The sequence below is a fragment of the Homo sapiens genome, chromosome 1, assembly GCF_000001405.40.
Source record: "Homo sapiens chromosome 1, GRCh38.p14 Primary Assembly".
Lineage (NCBI taxonomy): Eukaryota > Metazoa > Chordata > Mammalia > Primates > Hominidae > Homo > Homo sapiens.
The window spans coordinates 234,670,181-234,693,846 of record NC_000001.11 but is presented as its reverse complement, the minus strand read 5'-3'; the positions used below and the strand labels follow the sequence as shown (position 1 = coordinate 234,693,846).

General features: G+C 39.5%; 3 long non-coding RNA genes across 3 annotated transcripts; 2 read left to right on the top strand and 1 right to left on the bottom strand.

Moving 5' to 3' along the window:
- The first annotated feature begins 4,716 nt into the window (after positions 1 to 4,716).
- Positions 4,717 to 16,817, top strand: LOC105373208 (uncharacterized). Its single transcript, XR_949287.4, has 3 exons — positions 4,717 to 5,043; positions 11,248 to 11,365; positions 14,498 to 16,817. It is a non-coding gene; the product is annotated as an uncharacterized LOC105373208 (long non-coding RNA).
- Positions 10,666 to 17,405, bottom strand: LOC105373209 (uncharacterized). Its single transcript, NR_188651.1, has 3 exons — positions 17,284 to 17,405; positions 12,922 to 13,036; positions 10,666 to 11,155 (listed from the first exon to the last, which is right to left on the bottom strand). It is a non-coding gene; the product is annotated as an uncharacterized LOC105373209 (long non-coding RNA).
- On the top strand, positions 16,887 to 22,445 carry LOC124904555 (uncharacterized). The gene is made up of 2 exons (XR_007066952.1): positions 16,887 to 17,078; positions 20,857 to 22,445. It is a non-coding gene; the product is annotated as an uncharacterized LOC124904555 (long non-coding RNA).
- Positions 22,446 to 23,666: the final 1,221 nt, after the last annotated feature.

Here is a 23,666-nt window from a genome sequence, read left to right as displayed (position 1 = left end):
AATACATCAGTATAATATATATAATTACTAATATACAGTTGTTAGTGAGTGAATTAATTAGAATGAATAATCAAGGTTTGATGTTCAATGAGTTTGTAATACCTAAACCAGAGTTTAGGTAGGTATTATATACATTATTTACCTAAACTCTGGTATTATATACAGGCTCTTGGGCTAGCAGGCATACTGATGTATTCTGGGATCATTGAACATCAAGCGTTGATTATTCATTCTAATTAATGCACTCATTAGTAATTGTAACAAATAATTATTAAGTGCTGAATTATGAGCATAGCTCTCTTCTAGAAAAACGGAGGAATAATCTGTGGTTTATGTCCTCAGGCAGCTTGCAGTCTATCTGAGAAAACAAGACATACCCTCAAGCAGATAATTGCCATTTACAGTCATTCCTATGATCTCAGCACTATGTGGGTTTAATCAGCCTTCTGCTAAAAGGAACCAGGTCCAAGACATTCAGCATGGCATGGTAGCTAAGCAAGATCCAGTGTCTTCATTCAGCACTGACAGAGTCACTGTCTCTGAGCAGTACTTAGCTACAGAAACTTTGAAGCCTTCTGCAATTTATTATGCTGAGTGCATCTAATCAACATGTAGAATAAAGATGGAGCTCCAGAGAAGTTAGCACGCAATCTGGGTGACAGGTGCTGAGCAAGGACAGCCTCTTCCCAATACTCTCCAAGCGGCCTGCTGTTTCCAGGGAATGATATTATCATTCTTGGCATCTAGAACAGGACTCAATGTAAGATTGTCTAAGGCAGTCACTGGCTACAGTTCATGGAAGCTTCAGGACGGCACTTGGCATGAGCTCTCAGTGCTATGGAAAAAAGAAGCTCTTAGGTGGAATATTTCTAGCTAAAAAATGTATAGTTTTTTTTGTTGTTGTTTCTGTTCCTTTCATTTTTATTTTTAGAAATAGGATTTCAAAGGGCATTTGTCCTGGTCCCTCAGGAAAGAACATTTTCTAAAGTGTTCCCATCAACAATGCCTCAGGTGTTACAGGTCCCTACTCTTGGCCATCCAGCTCTGCCACCGTGCCTGGATTCTGCATTTTCAAAGGGACCAGCTTACCAGCAGCATCCTCTTCCTGCTGCCTCTTGACTCACACAGATCCCATCAATAAGCATTCACTGAGGCCTGCTCTAAGTGAGGCTCTGGGGAGAGTGCTGTGGGAGCTTCAAGAGCAATAGCAGCCCTGAGCTCCAGGAGCTTCCCCTCTGAGGTGGGGAATTGCGATGCATGGAACATCTCCAACACACAAAGCAGACTCTTGCTAGGCTTCGAACTGGAATTGCATTGATCGTATTAACTTGGGGGAGATCTGATATATTTAAAAGAAAAAAATAAGCCGGGCATGGCGGCTCACGTCTGTAATCCCAGCACTTGGGGAGACTGAGGTAGGTGGATCATTTGAGGTCAGGAGTTTGAGACCAGCCTGGCCAACATGGTGAGACCCCGTCTCTACTAAAAATACAAAAATTAGCCGGGCGTGGTGGGTGCCTGTAAGCCCAGCTACGTGGGAGGCTGAGGCAGGAGAATCGCTTGAACTTGAGAGATGGAGGCTGCAGTGAGCTGAGATCATGCCACTGCACTTCAGCCTGGGTGACAGAGTGAGACTCTGTCTCAAAAAAGAAAAAAAAAAAAAAAGAAAAAAATATAGGCGATGGAACAGAAAAGTGGGCAGTGGCTATGAAGATGCAATCCAAATATAAGGTAATACTTATCACCAAAGAAATAGCAATTAAGACAACAGTGAGACAGCATCTTGTGTCTGTCAGATTGGAGGAAAAATACTAAATTGAATAATGTGAATTGTTGTTGAGGATTGTGGAACTAGCCTTCCATGAAACGTTTCTAGAAGTCTAAATGAGTGTAGACACTCCAGAGAGCAATCTGGCGGTATTTAGCAATCCCATACCTGGGCATATAACTTGGACAAACTCTGATTATAACAGACTAGGCCCAAGGATATGTTTATTGCAGTATTATTGGTGGTAGTGATGAGTTGGAGGCAATATAAGTTTCTACCACAAGGAGGGTTGATATGAGCGTTTGATGAATAGTATGCAGTAGTCAGAATAATAAAACAGATGTACACTCAGCATGGAGAAATCTGAATAAGATACTGTTGGCTGATGACAGTAAGACATGGATTGAGATATATAGTAGAGTGTCATTTATATAAATTCAAAACACGTGCACAAGATGATCATGTCTCTAGTAGCTACAAAAGTGCTTGATACAGAGTAGGCCTTCAGTAAATTGTTTTACTTGTTGTCAATAAAAATATATATACTAAATAAATATCTAACATTTATGTAAGTTAAGAATACATAGACATATACATATTTTAAGGGTATATACAAATGCGAAACATAATTTAAGGGTACGGCTCTTCTGGATAGTCCAGCGTTCAAATGGAGTTCTCTGGAGTGAAGTAAAATTAATTCACAAACCTCTGTTGCATCCAAGGTCAAATACTCTCACGAACACCCACTCTCTGTTCCCTGGTTTAATACTCACTGAGTAACATTCTGAAGCCTGAGACTTTTATACATACCCAGTTTCCAGAAAAGGCACAAAGAAGCTTTCCCCAAAAGAAAATACATGAATATTCCATTTATTTAAAAACATCCGAGCAGGTCTAAGCAATATAAATTAATATAGCAGCATCAGTGTCTTGTGAGTTAAGACGAGTGTCCTAAGATTTAGTTGCTTAACTGATTCCTCTATGTCCCTAAATCAAATGATGAAATACAGATTTAGGTTCCATTTTTTTGAAAGAATACTTCATAGGTCATTCTGTCTACTTCCTACTGCACCACATTTAGGAGGGAGGCACATCATGTGTGGTTGTCTCTTTAGTAATTCTGAGATTGGTCAAGGGGTCCAGGTGGTGTCTGACCTTATTCCATCATTACAAAAGAAGTCACCATCTACTTTTTACCTAGTGGTTTCAGTATCTTTGGATAATCACTGCCCGGATTTATCAAGGTTTGCAAAATGATTTTCTAATTCTGTGGTTCCTTCTATACACATTAGCTGGGATTCTTCAAAATGTAACTTACAAAACAAACAAAATCACTATCAAGACTTGACATTCCTTCTTCCATATCAATTTTCAGAATAGTGATAAAAGTTACCAGTAATGATTTCTAGTGGAGACCAATATGTTTTTCTCATCATTATATACTTTTTTTTTTTTTTGAGACAGAGTCTTGCTCTGTCACCAGGCTAGAGTGCAGTGGTGTGATCTCTGCTCACTGCAACTTCCGCATCCTGGGTTCAAGCAATTCTCCTGCCTCAGCCTCCCAAGTAGCTGGGACTACAGGTGCACACCACCACGCCCAGCTGATTTTTGTAGTTTTAGTAGAGACAGGGTTTCACCATATTGGCCAGGATGGTCTCGATCTCTTGACCTCGTGACCTGCCCACCTCAGCCTCCCAAAGTGCTGGGATTACAGGCATGAGCCACTGCGCCCAGCCCATAAATTTTTATATATTTGATGAGGTTGAATTAATTGCCATCATTATTCTCTTTTCTCTCTCTCTTTAGGATCCTTAAACAGCTTATATTCAATAAACTGCATATGTTTAAATGGCACACTTTGTAAAGTTTGGTGATACTGTACAGTCACAAAAGCATAATCAATGTAGCAAACATATCTATTGTAATCTAAAATGTCCTTGTGCCTTTTTTAACCTCCTGCTCCTCCTCCATACTATATCCCCAGGCGACCTCTGATTTACTTTATGTTGGAATTTTTGAGAAATTCATACAAATGGCATTATTTAGTATGTACTCTTTGTGTCTGACTGCTTTTACTCAGCATAATTATTTTGAGATTCAACATGTTGTCTGTATCAATACCTTTAATTGTCAAGTGGTATGCTATTGTATGACTATGTCACAATTGTTTAGCCATCGATGAACATTTGGGTCGTTTCCAGTTTGGGGTTACTACAAATAAAGCTGCTAAGAACATTTTTATATAAATCTTTGTGCAGACATAGATTTTATTTCTATGGGATAAATACCTACTAGTGGAAAGGCTACATCAGATAGTAGGGTATATACTTAACTTTTCAAAAAAAACTGCAAATGTGCTTTCCATAGAAGTGCTATTGCACATTTCTCCTGAGCATGAGAATTTCAATTCTTCCCCATTCTCTCCAATATTTAGTATGGTCAGACCTTATAATTTTATCCATTTTAATAGGAGTATATTATGGTTTGAATGTGTCCCCTCCAAAATTCAGGTGTTGACATTTAATGGCCAATGTGATAGTATCAAGAGATAGGACCTTTAAGAGGTGGTTAGGTCCTGAGGACTCCTCACTCATGAATGGGATTAAGAGATTTCGTGCAGCTTTTGACTCCCTTGCCCTTTCACCTTTCACCATGTGAGGACACAGTGTTCCTCCCCTCCAGAGGACGCCACAACTGGGCGCCATCTGGGAAGCAGAGGGCAGTCCTCAATAGACAAAGGAACCTGCCAGCATCTTGATCTGGGACCTTGCAGCCTCCAGAAACTATGAGAAATACATTTTTGTTCTTTGATAAATTACCCAGTCTTCTGTATTTTGTTATGGCAGCACAAAAAGAACTGTGACACTGTGTACATGTACTTAATCGTGGTTTTACAGCAGTCTCCCTTTCTCTGCTGTTTCACTTTTTTGTTGTTTGTTTGTTTTGAGATGGAGTCTCGTTCTTGTCGCCCAGTCTGGAGTGCAATGGCGTGATCTCGGCTCACCGCAACCTGTCCTCCTGGGTTCAAGCAATTCTTCTGCCTCAGCCTCCGAAGTAGCTAGGCTTACAGACACGTGCCACCACACCCTGCCAATTTTTGTATTTTTAGTAGACAGGCTGTTAGGCAGGCTGGTCTTGAACTCCTAACCTCAGGTGATCCGCCCACCTTGGCCTCCCAAAGTGCTGGGATTACAGGCATGAGCCACCGCACCCAGCATGCTGATTCACTTTCTGCAGTTTCAGTTACCCACAGTCAACCATGGGCCAGAACATAGGTGAGTACAGTACAAAAAGATATTTTGAGAAAGAAAGAAAGACCACATTCACATAACTTTTATTATAGTATATTGTTATAATTATTTTTATTATAATAATATTTTATTATATAATATTTTATTATTAGTTGTTGGTAATCTCTTACTGTGCCTAATTTATAAATTAAACTTTATCATAGGTGTGTATGTATAGGGAAATCACAGTATACATAGGGTTTGGTACTATCTGCTGTTTCAGGCATCCATTGGAGGTCTCAGAGCATATTCCCCCCTAGATAAAGGAGGGCCATTGTAATTTGCATTTCCCTAATAACCAATGTTACTAGACATTTTTTCATGTGCTTATTTCCCATCTGTATGTCTTCTTTGGAAAAGTGTCCCAATCTTTTGTCTATTTTTACATTGTGTGGGTTTTTAAAAATTATTGAGTTTTGAGAGTTCTTTATCCAGTATATGCTTTGCAAATATTTTCTTCCAATCTGAGGCTTACCTTTTTACTTCCTTAACAGTCTCTTATGAAGAGCAGAGAATTTCTAATTTTGATGAAGTTCAGTTTATCAATTTGTTTTTCTTTTATAAATTGTGTTTTTGGTGCTGTATCTAAGAAATCTTTGCCTAAACCAAAGTTACAGAGATTTCTTTTCCTATATTTTCTTCTAGAATATTTGTAGTTTTAGGTTTTACATTTAGGTATATGATCCACTTTAATTTTTTATATAGCATAAAATAGGAATCAAAGCTCCTTTTATTTGCATATGTATATCCAATTGTTCCAACACCATTTGTTGAAAACACTATCCTTTCACTACCAAATTGCCTTGCAAAAAATATTTGCAATTTTTAAAATATATGAAAAATTAACTTAAAGTGGATCAACCTTAGTTGACAGTCAGTAGTCTAAGTATGTGTGTATCTATTTCAGGGCTGTTAATCTATCTTTATGTCACAAATACACTGTGTTGATTATTGTAGCTTTATAGTAAGTCTTGAAATTAGGTAGCATTAGTCTTACCATTTTGTTCTTCTCACTCAAAGTTGTTTTGGCTATTCTAGGTTCTTTGCATTTCCATATAGAGCCTAGAATCAACTTGTCAATTTCCACAAAAGAACCCCCTCAGGTTTTGGTTGGAAGGATATTGAATCTATAGATCAATCTGAGGAAAAACGACATCACAATATTGAATTTTCTGACCCATGAGCATAGTACATCTCTCCATTATTCAGGTCTTTAAAAAATTCTCTCACAATGTTTTATAGTTTTCAGTGTTTACAGCTTGCACATCTTTTGTCAGACAAGGACTTCATATTGTTGATGCAATTTAAATTGTTTGAAATTTAAATTTCTGTTTGTTGATAGTTTATGGAAGTACAATTGATTATTGTATATTGATCTTATATCATTACAGTAGCCTTTTTGTAGAATCCATCCTATTTTCCACATGGATAATCATGTCATGAAGAATAAAGACAGTTTTACTTCTTTCCTTAAAATCTGGATTCCTTTTATTTCTTTTTCTCCCCTGGTTGCACTGGCAAGGATTTCTAGCAAAATGTTTAATAGAAGTGGTAAGAGCCAACATTCCTGACTTGTTTCTGTTAAGTATGATGTTAGTTGTAGATTTTTCTTAGATGATTTGTGTCGGATTGGGAACATTTTCCTCTATTTATAGTTTGTTGAGATGTTGGAATAATCAGGAATAGATGTTTGATTTTACCGTATTTTTTCCTGTTTATATCAAGATGATAATATGGTTTTCATTTTTAATTAATATGACAAATGACATTAATTTTCCAACATGAAACCAACCCTCCTTTCCTGGAATAAACTCCATATGAAACTCATATATTATCTTTTTTACATATTGTTAGATTTGATTTGCTAAAATTTGGTTAGAAATTTTGCACCTTTGCTCCTGAGGGATATTAATATGTAGATTTTTTTTTCATCTTTTCCTGGTTTTGGTATCAGTAATGCTTGTCTCATAAGAAGTTGAAAAACAAGACGACTGGGCACATTGGCTCACACTTGTAATTCCAGCACTTTGGGAGGTCGACGCAGGCAGATCGCTTGAGGTCAGGAATTTGAGACCAGCCTGGCCAACATAGTGAAACCCTGTCTCTAATAAAAATACAAAAATTAGCCAGGTGTGGTGGCACATGCCTGTAATCCCAGCTACTGGGGAGTCTGAGGCAGGAGAATCATGTAAACCTGGGAGGCAGAGGTTGCAGTGAGCCGAGATCATGCCGCTGGACTCCAGCCTGGATGACAGAGTGACACTGTCTCAAAAAAAAAAAAAGAAAAGATAAGAAGTTGAAAAACATTTCTTCCTCTTCAATTTTCTAAGAGTTTTGTAAAATTGATATTTCTTCCTTAAATGTTTAATTGTGTATGTCTGCTGGTGATTAATTCTTTCAGCTTTCATATGTTTGAAAGTAGTTTTTATTTTTACCTTATTTTTGAAAGATATTTTACTAGGTATACAATACTAGGTTTACAGAGTTTTTCTTTCACTTAGTGCTCAGTGCTTTTTTTAGGTGTTGCACCATTGTCTTTTCACTTGCATTGTTTCCTATGAGAAGTCTGCTATCACCCTTACATGTGTTCCTCTGTAGATAAATGTACTGCTTTGAAAATTTTCTCTTATCACTGGCTTTGAGTATTTTTATTATGATGTATCTTGGTGTAGTTTTCTTCATAATTTTTGTGCTTGAGATTCATTGAACTTTCTGGATTGTAGTTTTACAGTTTTCATCAAATCGGGGGGAATATTTTGACCATTATTCATCAGATATTTTTCTATTTCCCCCCTTCTTTAGGATCCCCTATTATATTAAAAACTTGAAGTTGTGCCACAGCTCACTGATGCTTTTTTCATGTTTTAAACTTATTTTTTCTATATTTTTTATTTTGAATGTTTTTTATTGCTTATGTCCTCCAGTTCATTAATCTTTTTAAAAAATGTCAAATCTACTGTTAATCCCCTCATCCCATTCAGTGTGTTTTTCATCTCACACATTGTAGTTTTCATCTCTAGAAGTCTAATTTTAAAAATTTATGTTCCATGTCTTTCTTAACTTTTTGAACATATTGAATACAGTTATGGTAATTGCTTCAAGGTCCTTGTTTGCTTATTCTAGGATCTGTGTCAGTCCTGGATTGGTCATTAAGTGTCATTTCTTACTAAGAAGACCAGGCTTCCTTGGAAAAATGAATAATTACAGATTTGGGACAAGAAATGTCCAAGAAGATCCTGGGGCATCTTTCAGTGTCAGAAAAAAGGAAGTCATCAAAGACCTCTTGCTCCTGAGTTTTCATTTTTGCCAGGCCTTTTCTCTTAAGAGATAAAACTCTCTCTTAAGAGAGAGTTCATGCTAATATTTCCAATTCAAGTTTAACATTATAAGGCCTCTGTTTGAATTCTTTGATTTTATACTCATACCTCTTTTCCTGTGCTGTTTAAATAGATATGCATATAAGAATATGTGAAGTGAAATGGCATGATGTCTAGGATTCAATGTAAAAACTTCAGCAAAGATAAAAATACAAACAATAAAGATAAAATGTTGCAAGATTTTGGTAATGAATCTAGGTGACAGGTATTTGGAGGTGTCATATAGTATTCTATGTGAGTGCTTGAAATTTTTTAATTTAATTTTTTAAAAAGAGAGATAGAGATTGAGAGAGGCAGATCCTCTTGCCTAATAAGATTGGCAACTTCATACTTTCTCACTCCCCTTTCCCCACCCAGGCTGTTGCAACATTGGCTTGTGCTTACATTTTGGTGTTCAGATCCATCTTCATTTTTTTCCCTAGGGATATTTCTTACTTTCTTGGAATTCAAATAATGAATTTAAAAGAATATTACAGGTTTTTAACATTTCTAGATGTTTTGTAGTAGGAAAGATTTTAGGTAATCTAATCCACGCTATTTCGGGAAATGGAGGTTTTTAGCTGTACTTTTAAAATAGATTTAATTGTTTCTTAATATACAAGATGCAATCTATAAAGTGGCCATCTCATCTTACAAATACATATTATTGGTGCCCAAAAAGTATAAATGAATGAAAGTAATCCTTATCCTCACTCTTAGAAACAATATAATTCAAAGTGTGTTTCCTACCTTCCAGGTATTGTTATAATAATTTATGTATATAGAGGCTAACATAGTAATGTTTTCAATGGGTGGGAGCATTACAAAGCTTTTTGTTTGAATTTTGCCTACAGAGCAGTGGGTGTACAGCACTTAGCCAAGTAATGAAAAACATCATTTTAAACTGCACAGAGGCCAACAGGTTACAAAGCATTATCTCATTTAATCTTCACAGTGACCTTACAGCACAGCAGGTATTGTCATTCTACATTCACAGATGGAGAGACTGAAGCCCAGGAGGTGAAGCAATACAGCATGACTCACACTAAATGCCAGTGCCAGGACTTGAGCCTCAAGGTTACGCCACCCCACAGCATTTGTCCTCCAAAAGGCCAGGCTATCTTCTCACAATGGCTGTCAGTGTGTTCATTTTCAAAACCTAAACTAGCTAAGTCTTAACAGATGAAAACAAAAAAAAAAATTAACTGAGAAGAAAGGCACCCACAGCTTCAAAATCCAAAGAAGAAAGTAGACCCTTTTGTTTTAGATCAAGGGAAACCAAAAAACAAAAGCGGTGAGACAGAATAATCCCTGAAGGAAAACAGTGACCTTCTCCAGGTTTAGGAAGATGGTCAAACCCGCATGCCCCTCCATGCTTCTAGGAAAACGTACTACACATATTCTTCAGGCAGATGCGAACGCTCCGAAGGGGCGCCCCTCTGCAGCTGGCTGACCAGCCCTCCTCTGCTCTGTCGTTTTCATCCAAACATTTAGATCTGTGGCCGGGTAGATATTAGTGGCTGGGTCAAAAAGACAGTTCTGGTGTGAAATATTTATACTTAATTGGCCTCTGTGTCTGTCTGTGTAGTTTTGCCAAGCATTTTAATAGTTTTCCTTGAGTATTCTTTATTCTTTTTTGGAAAGAATGCTATTCAGGGTAAGAATGGGGGGGGGAGTAGGGGACACAGCACAAAAGGTTGTCTCCTCTGAAGGCTTTGGGCACTCTTCCCAAAACAGATGCAGAAGGCAACACTGGCCTCTGCCTTGAAAATAATGTGGGATATTTATCTTGAAGTTCACCATTGTTATTCTTTGCTTCTTAGCCTTTCTGATTTGAATTCCAGTTTAGTCTTGATTTTGTAGAATAATCAAAGTAATGAATTGGAGGAAAATTATAATTTCTAGTATACAATAGGATGAGATAGAGTGTAACTTTTCATTTGCAATTTAATTTTTATTGTATCTTATTTATTTACTTATTTATTTGTAGAGACGGTCTTGCTCTGTTGCCCAGGCTGGGGTGCAAGTGGCACAATCATAGCTCACTGCACCCTTGACCTCCTGGGCTCAATCAATCCCCCTGCCTCAACCTCCTGAGTAGCCAGGACTGGAGGCTCATACTACCATGCCCAGCAAAGACAGGGTCTTGCTCTGTTGCCCAAGGTGGTCTCAAACTCCTGGCCTCAAACAGTCCTCCTACCTTGGCCTCTCAGAGTGTTGGGATTACAGGCGTGAACCACTGCACTTGGTCTGCAATTTAACTTTTAAATAAGGCATTTATTTGAATAATTCTTATCCAGTATTTTAAAAATATATTTTTATCATTAAATGGTAGTATATACATTTGTCATTAAAAAGTACAAAGTATTAAAAAATATAAAGGGAACAAAAATCACCCACAATTCTACCATGCTGAAAAAAAGATTATTAAGTGTATCCTTTTCCAATGTTTTCTATACATTTTAATTTCTCTTAAAAATTTGAATTTTATTATATATATATATAATATTTCTTCACCTTGTTATTGTGAAAATTATATAGCAAGTGTTTCTCTGTTATTGCCATTCTTGTAAACATAGTTTTTAACAATCTTCATGTTATTCCAAACTATAGATGGTCACAATTTATTGGGAGAGTCCGTTATTTAATTTTTTTCCTTTTGGTGTATTAACAAAACCGTCATGTGCATTCTGTAGTTATATCTTTGTCTGAATCTTTGATTATGTCTCTACCACACTTTCCTAGAAGAGAAATTAAAAAAACAAAGGATCAGCACAATTTTAAGGTTCTCATTAAATATTTTAATTTTTTTTTCCAAAAACAAACTCCCAAGTTACACTGCCACAAGTTGTGGATGGGAGGGCTGGATTTCCTGAACCCTTCCCAGCATTGCTCGAGTTTCTTGGTTCCTCCGCTAGAGAAGAGGAGCCCCAGAGCTCTGTAGGCTCCAGGTAAGGTTGACCCTCCCCGTCGTCCACCCCTCTCCCACAGGGTTGATGCAGGGCAGTGCTCCGTGTGTTTCCCCATGTGTTTCTTCCACACATCCATGAGCAGGAGCAAGGAGGAATGGCAGAGATCTGAGTGCTTCTGGAAAGGCCCTCATAACTCCCCCTTCCCAGCACCCCAAACCTCTGGCCAACAATCCATCACTGCAATCTGCCTTATTGACCCACAGAACCACTCCCATCTCACCCTTCACCACAAACTCCCAGATTATCTCACCTCACCCAGACACATTCCCACACAACACATCCAACCTGGATGCACCGTCTACTCCTCCCCACTTTTGAAGACTTCTAGTCAGTCATCAGCTGAATCCCCTATATCCTCAACCTCCTACTTGGTCACTCCTCTCAACTTCTTGCTCTAATTAGAACTTGGCTCTCCCCTGATGACACCATGTTCCCTGCAGCGTTTTAACATCATAGCTCATTTTTCTCCACATATCTTGAATTACTTGATCTGGAGTGGTGGATGTATGCTTCCTCTTCCCCATCGATGCTTCCAAACCATTCTCCCTCCACCCTCTCTAAATACCCCTAACTTTGAAACTCCTGTTGCAGAACATGGGCTACCCCTCCTGGCTTCAATCATCTACTTCTCCCTGTGACACCTCTCTTCATTTATTAAGGATTTCAGTGTATGGCTCACGTTCCCTGTCTCTAACACAACTCATGTCATAATTCTTGGTGACATCAATACCCACATTGAGTCTTCACTTGTTCCCTCTCTGGACTCCCAGTTCCTTGCCCTCTTCTCCAATGCTGTTGCTCTCCACCCCACCACTGACTCCACCCCACACAGCTACCTACTCGCAGGGTTCCACCTTTGGTGTTATCATTCCCAGTAGTTGCATCTCCTCCATAATCTCAACGTCAAGCCTCCCGTTCTCCAGGCACTACCTCTTCTCTTTTTAACTCACTCCCCAATACTCCAACCATTCTTTGTCTCCAGTAGGATGATCCCCAACAATCCATTGGTTCTACCCTATGCCCCTGCCCCAAACCTTGGAGTCACTCTTGATTCTTCCCTGCTATGCTCTATAAATCTATTTGGCTCTCCTTTGTATATACAGATGAAGTGACCACTTCTTAGCACCTCCACAATTGACACCTCGTCTGTCACCACCTCTCTGCCTGGGTGACTACAGTGGTGGCCCCCTCCCTGCCCTCCAAGTGCCCACGCTTGCCCCTACAGTCTGTTCCCAACACAGCAGCCAGAGAGACCATCTTGCAATGTAAGTTAGATCATGTCTCACCTCTGCTCAAAACCCCTAAGTGGATTCTCATTCAGAGTAAAAGCCAAAATTGTTTCTGTTCATTTGTTTTTAATTAACGGACTTAATTTCTTAGAGCAAAAGACTAAAGTTTTTGCAGTGCGTACAAGGCCCTGTGGGATGATTCCTCCCCGTCCACCCACTCCTCCAACCTCACCTTCTACCTGTCTACACCTTGCTCACTCCCCTGCAGCTTCATCCCATCCTGGATATTACTTGAAGACATCAAACCTGATCCTGCTCGGGGTCTTTGCTTGTTCCTCTAACTGGAAGCTTCAGCCCTCCATCTTTCACTTCCTCAGGTCTCTGCTCAAATGCCATCTTATGAGAGACGCCTTCAAAAACCCTCCATAAAAAGTAGCAACCATCACCGCCAGCCCCGCATCCCTGTCTCCCAACCGCCAGCCCCGCATCCCTATCTCCCAACCGCCAGCCCCACATCCCTATCTCTCTTACTCTGCTTGCCTGTTTCCTCTTTCTTTTTTTTCTGTCTTTCCTTTCTTTCTTTCCTTCTTTCTGTCTTTCCTTTTTCTTCTTTCTTCCTTCCCTCCCTCTTTCACTTTCTTTTTCTCTCTTTTGTCTTTCTCTTTCCTTCCTTCTTTCTTCCTATCTTTCCTTCTTTTTTTCTCCTTCCTTCCCTCTCTTCTTCCTTCCTTTCCTTTTTCCTTTCTTCTCTTTCTCCTTCCGTCCTTCCTTCCTTCCTCTCTCTTTCTTTTTCTTTTCTCTCTCTCTCGCTCACTTCCTATTTCTTTCTTGCTTCTTTCCTTAATAGACTGTTTTTAGAACAGTTTTAGGTTTATGGTAAAACTGAGGGGAAAGTATAGAATTCCCATATGCCCCCCCCACACACACAGCCTCCCCCACTGTCAACATCCCACACTCCAGAGTGGTATATTTGTTACAGTCCATGAACTTACACTCCCCCTTCCAACCCCATAGTAATTATCATCACTTGACACACTAAATATGTGCCCAATAATTTGTTTATTGTCTATTATGTTCCTCTCCAGAATGTAAGCTCCCTGAGGGGTGGGGGCATAGCGGATTTCTTTTTCTATGGAATCCCCAGGCATGCCTGATGTAATAGCCACTCAAAAATATATTTGTTGAGTAAGTGAAGGAAAAATGTGATAGGCGAACCAAAAACTTTGGTATTTTGCTGTTTTAATTTGCATTTCTTTGGTTATTAATCATCTCAAACATCTTTTCATGTGTTTGTTGGCCATTTGTATTTTTTTGCAAATTGTCCATTTGCTTTTACCCATTTTCCCTAGGAATGTTAGTGTTTTCCTTATTAACCGTTAAGTGCTTAACCTGTTAAAAATATTAATTTTCAGTGTCATATTTATTATAAATATTTTGCCAGTTTGTTTTTCTACCTTAATTTTGTTTATGTTCTTTATGTATTTTACTTACAGAAGTTTTAAATGTTTGGCGGCTAAGTATGCCAGTATTTTAATATATGTTTTATTTCCCATTATGTTTATATTTAGAATGCCCTTTCTCAACCCAATGCCAGTTAACTTTTCACTGGCATTTTCTTCTAATTCATCCACTCAATAAATATTAAGCACTGTTGGAACCAGGTTTTATTCCACGGGCTGGGAATAAAACAGTGAGCAAACTGTTTTAAAAACGAGCTTGCTCTCACCGAGCACATACTCTCATATTTTATTACTTAATATTTATGTTTAACACTTACCTTTCGCTAGATGTTTTATAATTATAAAGTATGGCATAAGAACCTAAGTTCATGCTTTTTCCTTTTTTTAAAGTAACCTTTTATTGAAATGTAACATTTATACAGAAAAGTGCCCAAATCATAAGCAGACATCTCATTGGATTTACTGAGCACACCCAGGTATCCACCACCCAAGGGAAGCAACGAAGGTGACCCCACCCAGCATTTACCCTGTGTCCCTATCTTGGACATTGATTCTGCTCCAGAGGTCACAATCTCATGCCGCCAATTGCCATAGATTCGTTTTGCTTGGTCTTAAACTTTATATAAATGGTAAGTTGCAAAAAGTGGAAACTTTCGTTACTGGATTCTTTTGTTGGCCTTATGCTTGTAAGATGCGTCCACAATGTTAAGATACATTTCTTGCAATAATTTGTAGAATTTACATCTTTACAATGTTCAACATTCCCATTCAGAATCATGATATAGATCTTCATTTAATCAAATCTGTGCATGTGTTAGAAAATTCAAAGAGTGTATTTTTATAGTATTGTAACTTGGTAATTTATGGCTTTAGTTGCTATTGAGAGTAAATTTTCCAGCATATTTTTAAACTGGTTCTTGCTGATAAAATACCCGGTGATTAAAATATATGTATATAGTTGTCGTTTTACATATAAAATATTTTAATCAGCTTGTCTTTGATTACTGGTAAAGTGAGCACATTTCCATGTGTTTATTGGCCACATTAATTTTTACCTTTTAATTGCTGCTACTGCTGCTTCTGCTTCTTCTTCTTGTTCTTCCTAGTTATTCTTGTTAATTTTAACAATTCTTTATATTTTAAGGATATCTTTGGAATATGTTGTGAAAGTATTTTCCCAGTTTATCTTTTTTTCTTAACTTGTTGCTATTTTTTGACGTATTTTAAAATATGTGCAGAGGCAAATCAATCATTTGTTTATTTTGTGATACCTTCTTTGCATTTATTTTTAGAACACTTTTTATTAAATGACTTATCTTCCCTTCCTTTTTTTGAGGTAATGTCTCTATTGTATACTATATATATTTGTATCTATTTCTGGACTTTATATTTTATTCCATTGATATGGCTAGGTATAGAATTGTACAATTTAAATTATTATAGCTCTATAAAGCATTTTGATTTTTTTCAACGTGAGTCATTTTTCCTTATTCTGCTTTTCCAAACAATTTTGGTTGTTCTCATTTTTTCTTGCAAATAAAATATATGTATCATTTCACTGAATTCCAAACAAATAAAATCTCTTCAGATTTTGAATTGGAATTGCATTAAATGTGTAAATTATCTCCAAAAAGTTTACATCTTCCCATTATTTGTCCTCCTATCCAGGAAATTATACATCTTTTTATTTGTTCAAATATTCTTTTCTGCCCCTTATTAAATTTTTAACTTTTCTTTGGGTGCACTTTTCTTGTTAGGTTTATTTGTATGAATTTTATATTGTTTTGTTATTTTAAATTTAAATACTCTTTTAAATGTGTTGTTAGTTGGTTATTAGTGGTGTGTAGGAAAAGTATTTCTTATATTGCTATAATAATGATAGTTAAACTTTATAGAGTGAAACAAGGAAAGACAGTGTAACACAGGTGGTTAGGAGAAAGGGTTTTGGAGTCAGATTACCTGGATTCAAATGCCAGTCCTATTACTAGGTGTATGACATTGGGCCTTGGTGTCCTCATTTGTACAATGGGGGTGATACAATTCTTGCTTCATAGGATGCATATAAAGTGATTAGGTTATACTCAAGTTTCTTTGGACAGACTAATCATATAACTTACAAGTAATAATTTTATCCTTTTTGATGTTTTTACTGTTTTTCTGTATGTCTTATAATGGGAATTTCTAGGAAAATGTTTACCAACATTTGTGGTAATTAACATCCTCAACTGTTTCCTGATTTTAACGAGAACATCTTTATTATTTCATTGTTAACTATGATGGTGGGTATTTGTTAATTAATAGGTCTTATTGGGAATGAATGTTGAATTTTACCACATGCCTTTTTAGTATTTATTGCGATAATCATTTTTCCTTTCTCAAACCTTTCTGTGTGATACTTTGTATTATTAGTTTTCTCACATTGATCCATCATTGCATTTTAGTAATCAAATATCCTTGGTATGATATAGTCTTCTTCTAATATATTGCTGGATTTGATTTGCTAAAACATTTTAAAGCTTTTTCTCCATACTTGTAAGCTATATTAGTGTCAGTTGCCTCCTTTGCCCTAGGTTCATCAGACTTGTTAACAAGATTACAAGTTTATAAGTTAATTTGGAATTTATAAGTAGATTTGGAAAGATTTACATATATTGCTGTGTTCTGCAATAATTTGTTTAGAATGGGAATTAACTTTTTGTTGAAGGTTTGAAAAAACTCACCCATAAACAAACTACACACCCATCTGAGCCGCCTGACTTTATTGAATGCAGCCTTTGACAACTTATTTAGTATCTTCTATACTTACTGATTTATCAGGGAATCTACTTATTGAGTTAATTTATGTTTTCCTAGAAAATTCAACTTTATGCTGTCTACAAGAGGCATACTAACTCATAAAAATTAAAAGACTGACCCAGAAAACACAGCAAAAAGAAAAATATCACGAAATGATTGTCAGTCCAATTAAAATTCAAGACTGGAAGAATTCATGGGTCAGAGAAGGTAATATTTTGTTGACAAAGGATATGATCTTCCATCATACATATTAAGCCCTGAATAATGTAGCCAGGTCATATATAAAGGAAAACTTGTTCAAAGTGTAAGGGATTGACAGGGAAAAAAAAGCGATGGGAAACTTTAAAACATTTAACTCATTTCTTGACAGATCAAGTGGCAAAATATAAACGTGGATAAGGAGACTGAATACCTTTCTTATGTCTTCAGCAGGCAGGCTAGGCTGGCCCACTTTAGCCTAAATCCCGGGATCCAGCAAGCATTCATCTCACATAGCTCGGGTTTTACTGAGTTGGTTCCTCTGCCTGCTTCTCTGACTTGTTTACCCGTGGAGTACACGAGAACTACAACCCCCAGCATGCACTGCGGTCAGTGGCTTCCTCCGGGGCTTCCCATCCAGAATCCTTTATTCCCACCAGTCACCACTCTACCCTCTCCCCGAAGCAATTTCCAGCCATCTATCTGGGAACTGTAATCTTTCCACGTCAGGGAAAAAGACGATATAGAAGGTTGGATGGGTAGTATTCAGACTCCCTCGGAAAACAAAGCACACTCATACAGGACCAGAAACCCCGTTTACTGACTGGGACCGCCTGTGGGTCTCAGAGTCAGAGAGCCAAGAGGGAGTAGGAGGCAAAACCAATGTCTTCCTACCTTTTCAGGAGGTCACCTGGCTCAGTGAGTTTCAGCAGATGAGAGAGAGTATGCTCTTCTCCCTTTCTCTCTTTTTAAAAATCCAACTCCACCTCCTTTATTTTGAATGGAAATCCCTCCTGATTGTGCTGTGTGCCCAGAGGAAGACAGCGACTGAACCCTACAAGATAAGTTTTCCCTCTAGTGAAGCTAATGAGGGCTTGCAAAGAGCAGTAGAAAGACATGAAGGTTTTAAATGCCTTCCTTCTTGGTTCCATCAAACAGGCTTATCCATGCCCTTCCAGTGCAATCAGCCACTGCTGCAGCTGCCACAGCTGCTGCTACTGGTCAGATCTAGCAGCCTGCTAAAGCGGATTATGCTGAGAAACACACACGCACACGCACACATTCACACATACATGCATGCACGCAGGCACACACACACATGCACACACACAACAACTATATTTCCTTCCACGATAGGGAGTTGAAGGTTGAGTTAGAAGGGAGAGAACAAAAAGGGAGAGAACATGTAAGGACAATAATATATGTGGGGTAGACTCATCTTTACAGCCTTGAAGTTGTCCAAACTGCAGACAAAAGGGGGAACACTTTCAATCCAATTGGAAACCTTTCTCTGGTGCTCTTGTTTATAGCAAGTAGGTGTGTTATATAAGGGCCTGGCTCAACACCAGCCTCCTTTAGGAGTCGGCTTTCTGGGATCCTTTAATTAAAAGTACCGAGACACAATATGAAGATGAAAGACTCAGCAGATATGTGGACTGCACCCAGCACTGCTGGTGGTCTCCCAAAACTAGTGAAGGCACAGGGTGGGGTCCTGTCCCTGCTTGCATGGGAGTCTGGCTCAAACACCTGCTTGGGAATTGGGGGATAGTGTCAGGTAAGTTGGAAATCCTGGAGACTGAGCCCCACCTGCCCTCGAAATGGGTCTGTATGTGGTTGCCTGTGAACATGCCTGGATACCTAGGCACCCCACACCTCCGGAAACTCCCTGGGCTCAGTCCATGCTGTGCACCTGCCAATGTGAACGTGCCCTTTGCTGTGCCCACTGTTGACAGCCTCTGGACAGATGGGCTTTTCCAGGTTCTTCCACTGCTTCCAGAGCTTCCTGTTTATGTGTTTTTGTTTCTAAGTCCAAGAGTCTCAGAATTCCATACTCTGAGATCTTGCAACTTGGATCATATTTGTGACCCTGAAACTCAAGGCCCTACCTGAGAGATCTTTTCAAGAGAACTATTTATCTATTCACTTATCACATGCCTATACCCCAAGCACAAATATGACCCTACCTCCTTTTCACAGGCTGCCTGGTAGTACAGAACCCATCACACCTGTATTCATGGACCACCCCACTCCCCACTCTTACGGGTGTTGCTCTTATAAACCATATATCCCCATGGCTGGGAGTCTGTGGATACTAATGAGTCACACTAATAGCAACGATCCAGATTTCACAGGCTCTGATCTCTGCAGCGCTCCCAGTACAGGAGGGCACCCCTCTCCAAGACTTTCTGTGGACCCTGAGGGGTGTCTCACAGGTACTCACAAACAGTCCTTCCTTTGTTCTGCTCAGCTGCCCAGTCCCCACCCAGCTGATGGCTACAGTTGGCCCCTACTCCTCAGTGAGAACATCTAGGTCCTCCCTGATTTGGGGTAATAGACCTCTCTTCCACCCTGTGCAACTCCTCCAAAGCAGAACTGCTCCTGGCCCCTTCTCCCGGAGCCCCTCATAAATCAGCACCTACAGTCTTGCCTGCAGATCCTCTGGCCTGGGGACCATGCTGGGCTACAGACCAGTTTCAAACAGACACCACACTGGCCTCCCCATGTTAGTGTCCCCCTCAGCTACCTGCATCTTCATCCACCTTCAGACAAAACCCCATGCAAAATGATGCTGCCCGAAGCCACACATGAGTTTGCCCATTAAGTTTAGATCCTAGCTCATGTCCAGATTAGGACGGAGGTGACATTCTTACCTTCTGGCTAGTTACAAAATTCTTCGAAAGGGAAAATGCAAAAACAATCAGATCCTAAGTGAAATTGTGGAGTGGAAAGACCCGTGTAGCATCTTCTTGCCTTGTATTTTGGGGAAGCTCCTTCCTTAGGGCAAGCATTCAGGGACTATCACTGTGCTCTCTCTTTAGTTCTGAAGTATATGCATGTCAATGAATCCACAACATTGGTTTGATATTCCACATAAAAATGATCAGCAAGGAGGAGTCCATTCTCTTCTTCCAGTGATCCATAGAGTGAGATCAGAAATTTATCAGCCAGATGACATAGGATACAAGATTCTTTTGGATAATATGTGTAATGAAAATGCAAACAAATTTATGAAAGAGTTCTGTGAGCTACTTCATAGTCTGATTGACTCATACACTTGACAAGGTGAGGGGGCCCTCTCCAGACAAGGTGGGCCACAAAGAGCTTGGCCTCTGGACTCAAGTCTTGGTCCGCCATCTGCCTTACTATCTGGGTAATCTTGGCCAATTCGCTTCGCTTCTCTGAATCTCTGTTTTCTCACCTCAAAACTGAAAATTCTTGCTGAATTATTGTAAGAATTCGAGAAGATTTAATAGGCGCTCAGTAAATGTCAGCTTTTGGAGCCACTATTTAGTCTGGAAATAGTCTTTGGAGGGGACTCATATGAACCATATGCATAGCACCACCTCCATGTCTGTCTTTGAAACATACCCCACTGTCTCTTTCTCTCACACACACGTGCGCACACACACAGTTAAGGCTATGGGTCCCGACTGCCAGGGTTTGAGTCCTGGTCCTACATCCTTCTCCCTGTGTGACCCTGGCCACCTTACTGAACTTGTGGGTGTCCTTTTCCCTCATCTATTAAATGGGGACTTTTATGGGTGGTATGAAGATCAAATAAGTGAATACATTTAAACCACTAGAACAGTGTCTAGTATATAAAAGAGTGTGCATGGGTCAAGTATTATTATTACTATCCATTCTTCATGATTCTTCTGGGAATTAAAAACCAACAAACCTCTAACTATCAGTGAGAATCCTGAATTCTCATCTTTCCCGCTGACCTTCATTCTGTAACCTCGAATGCATCTCTTTCTTCCATTCACACATCTGCTTTCTCTTCCAGAACAGCTGGTACAAGTGGATCTGCTCGGCACCTATAACCTAATTACCTCTCAGGCTCACACAAGTCTCTGGCCGCTAAGCGAATGATCTCCCAAAGGGATTATTCTCAAGCAGCACAGAAACTGTCCCTATGCCTCAGGTGGCCCCAGAACTCTTTCGTACTAGAGACTTATCTGTTAATAAAGTTAACAAAGGAAAGTGGCCTTCCAAGAATGTTTGTTTGGGCCACTACCTGGAAGAAATAACACTTGACCATGAGAGACTTGGCTGAGCAGTGCTGGGTCAGCTTAACCAAAGAAGACCAGCCATCACCCACGGCAAGAGCAGCTCTGACTTGGACCCACTGTTCCCCCAGCCTGTTAGCAGCCTGTGAACAATCTTTAAGTGACCCCTGGCCCTGTCACATCTCCATTCAACAGGGTTCTTGGGGAGGATGTGTGGACCGAGAACAGTGCCCACCCACACCACCTGTAAGTGTGGCCACGGCAGCCAGCCAGCATGGATGCTAAGTAACAAGTGGTATTGGGGCACAGATGTGGCGGGAGCGCTTTGGGGCAAAGAAAGAGGTGCTGTGAGTGAGGACAGAAAGGAAGGGGAAAAAAAAGCCTCATGGGTTAGAGCGCCTCTCACCTTTGGCTCTTCTTCAGAAGACTGGTAAAAGAAAACAAGAAGAGAAATTGGTTTCCCTGACTTCTCTAAAGCAAGCGTTCTTCAGAAAAGAGAATCGATCAGCCTGGTTAAAGTGGATAAACTATGTGATGTCCATCCAGAGAGGTGTCTATTAATGGCTGTAAAATGGAAAGATGAATCAATGGGACCGATTAATATTTATGAAGAGTTGAACTAGGCAGAGTGAAAAAGCCTTGTATATTGGATAAGAAAGGAAAAGCATTGCACACCATAGGATGCGTTTGTTTGGCTAAGGTTTCTGTTTTGATCACTGGGTAATTGTATAGAGCAGGGGCGTATGGTAGAGAAAGAAAATCTATATCTAGAAGTTATTGACTTTATGTACAAAAGCACTGGTTGGTGCCTATTTTTGAGGACCACTCCATCTTAAAAATAACTTTGGTTTTGTACGGCCTAGTTGTGGTGGAAAAGGAGCTCCAAAGAGTAAGCAAGTTTCCTACAAAAAGAATCCAAGCTGTTGAAACTACAATTAAGAAATGCAAAGAGTTACTAATTTTACTACTTAGAGGAAAGGAAATTCACAAGCAGGAAAGAAACTGTGGATCAGGGCAAGTTGTAACTCTAGAGGTTCAGAGATAGGAGCTCTAATTACACCAGGGCAAGGGAGTACTGTTTGGGGAAATTTCTGAAACATGAAATAGGAAAGCTGAGGGTCAAAATGATATTGTGATGTGAATAAATAGAGAAGACATGTTTGCATGGAGCTCAGCTGGGTAATCATGGAAAGAAGGAGGGGCGAAGGAGGAAACTGAAAATCGAAATAAAGAACAGAAGCACAGACCATGAAATATGCCAAATATAGTGTGCAAATACTCAGAAGGCATGGAAAGATAAGTTAGAAGCCAAAACTCAGTTATCACTATCGTGTGAAGGAACAATAAAACTCTTAGCAAAAACAAATGACTTAGCATGAGACCAATACTGCTTTCCTTAGGTAGCTTGGTCCAGAGGGAAAAGGCTGATATCACTCCCTATCAAGGGTTTTTAGACGGTTTAAGTGAGCTCTGCAAGTGGGAGACACGGTGATGATTATTGACAGTTGCTATCTTTCAAGGGGGAGAAGCAAACTGATGTTACACATTAGAATTAGTTAGCACCACCGAACACAGGTTACAAAAATACTGGGAGGAATTCTCTCTCCTGAGCACATTACGCAATATTTGCAAATGTGTGCAGGTAAGTGTTGACTCTCTCATCATGCTGGACCTGGAAATGGTTCTCAGCAAATCATGGCATGATTTCTTTTTCAAAGTTGGGTACACGAATATTATCGTAACCAGCTAAGAGCAGGGAGACGTGGCATGGGAGACTAACAGATAGTGCAGCTTTTAAGAGAAGACGTAGAAATCAATCTAGTAACAAATATTTATTAAGCATTGGAGTGTGCTAGGCACCAAGAGAAAAGAAACCTCCACAGCTGATAAAGCCTTTCAAAATAATGTCCTCAGTTAATTTGCACATTTCCATGAGGTAGGTGTTGTTAGCCATTTCCGTTAATGAGAAAAAAAAAAATGAGATTCAGAAAGGTTAATTAAATTGGAGATCTCCTGATTTTTTAGTTTTATATCCTTCCCGTGTCCTTTCCAGGCTTATATTCTGGTCCTATCACTTCTCAGCTGAGTTACTTCAACAAGTTATTTATTCTCTGTGTTCCCAGCTGTCAAAATGAAAATGCCAGTACCCACCTGGTAAGGAGTGAGAGAACATTTATAAAAATGCTCGGCTGGGTACCTGACACATAGGAGGTCCTCAGTAAATTTGTTTTCTCCCTTTCTTCCTGAAGTACGGTGGCAGAGGGATTCAGCCAGCCAGCCTGGGTAGCACAAGCCATGATGCCCTGCTGAATCTGTGTTCTAGGGTCGGACAGGGGGAGTCCTTTTGCCTAGAGGGATGGTGTGCGAGGCCTAAGAGGACTTGGGCAGAGTCTTGAAGGACGAGCAGGATTTGCTGTGGTGGAGAGGTGGTCACGGGTTGAGCAGATAGGAGAACCAAGGAATCAAGGCAGGGAAAGAGAGGGGATGCATGTGAAGGGCCAGGAGCTGTTAACTAGTTTGCTAAGCAGCAGGCGAGGATTTAGAAGGAGTTGGAGAAGTGTGGAGGGAGCTGAGGCTCTTGTGAGGG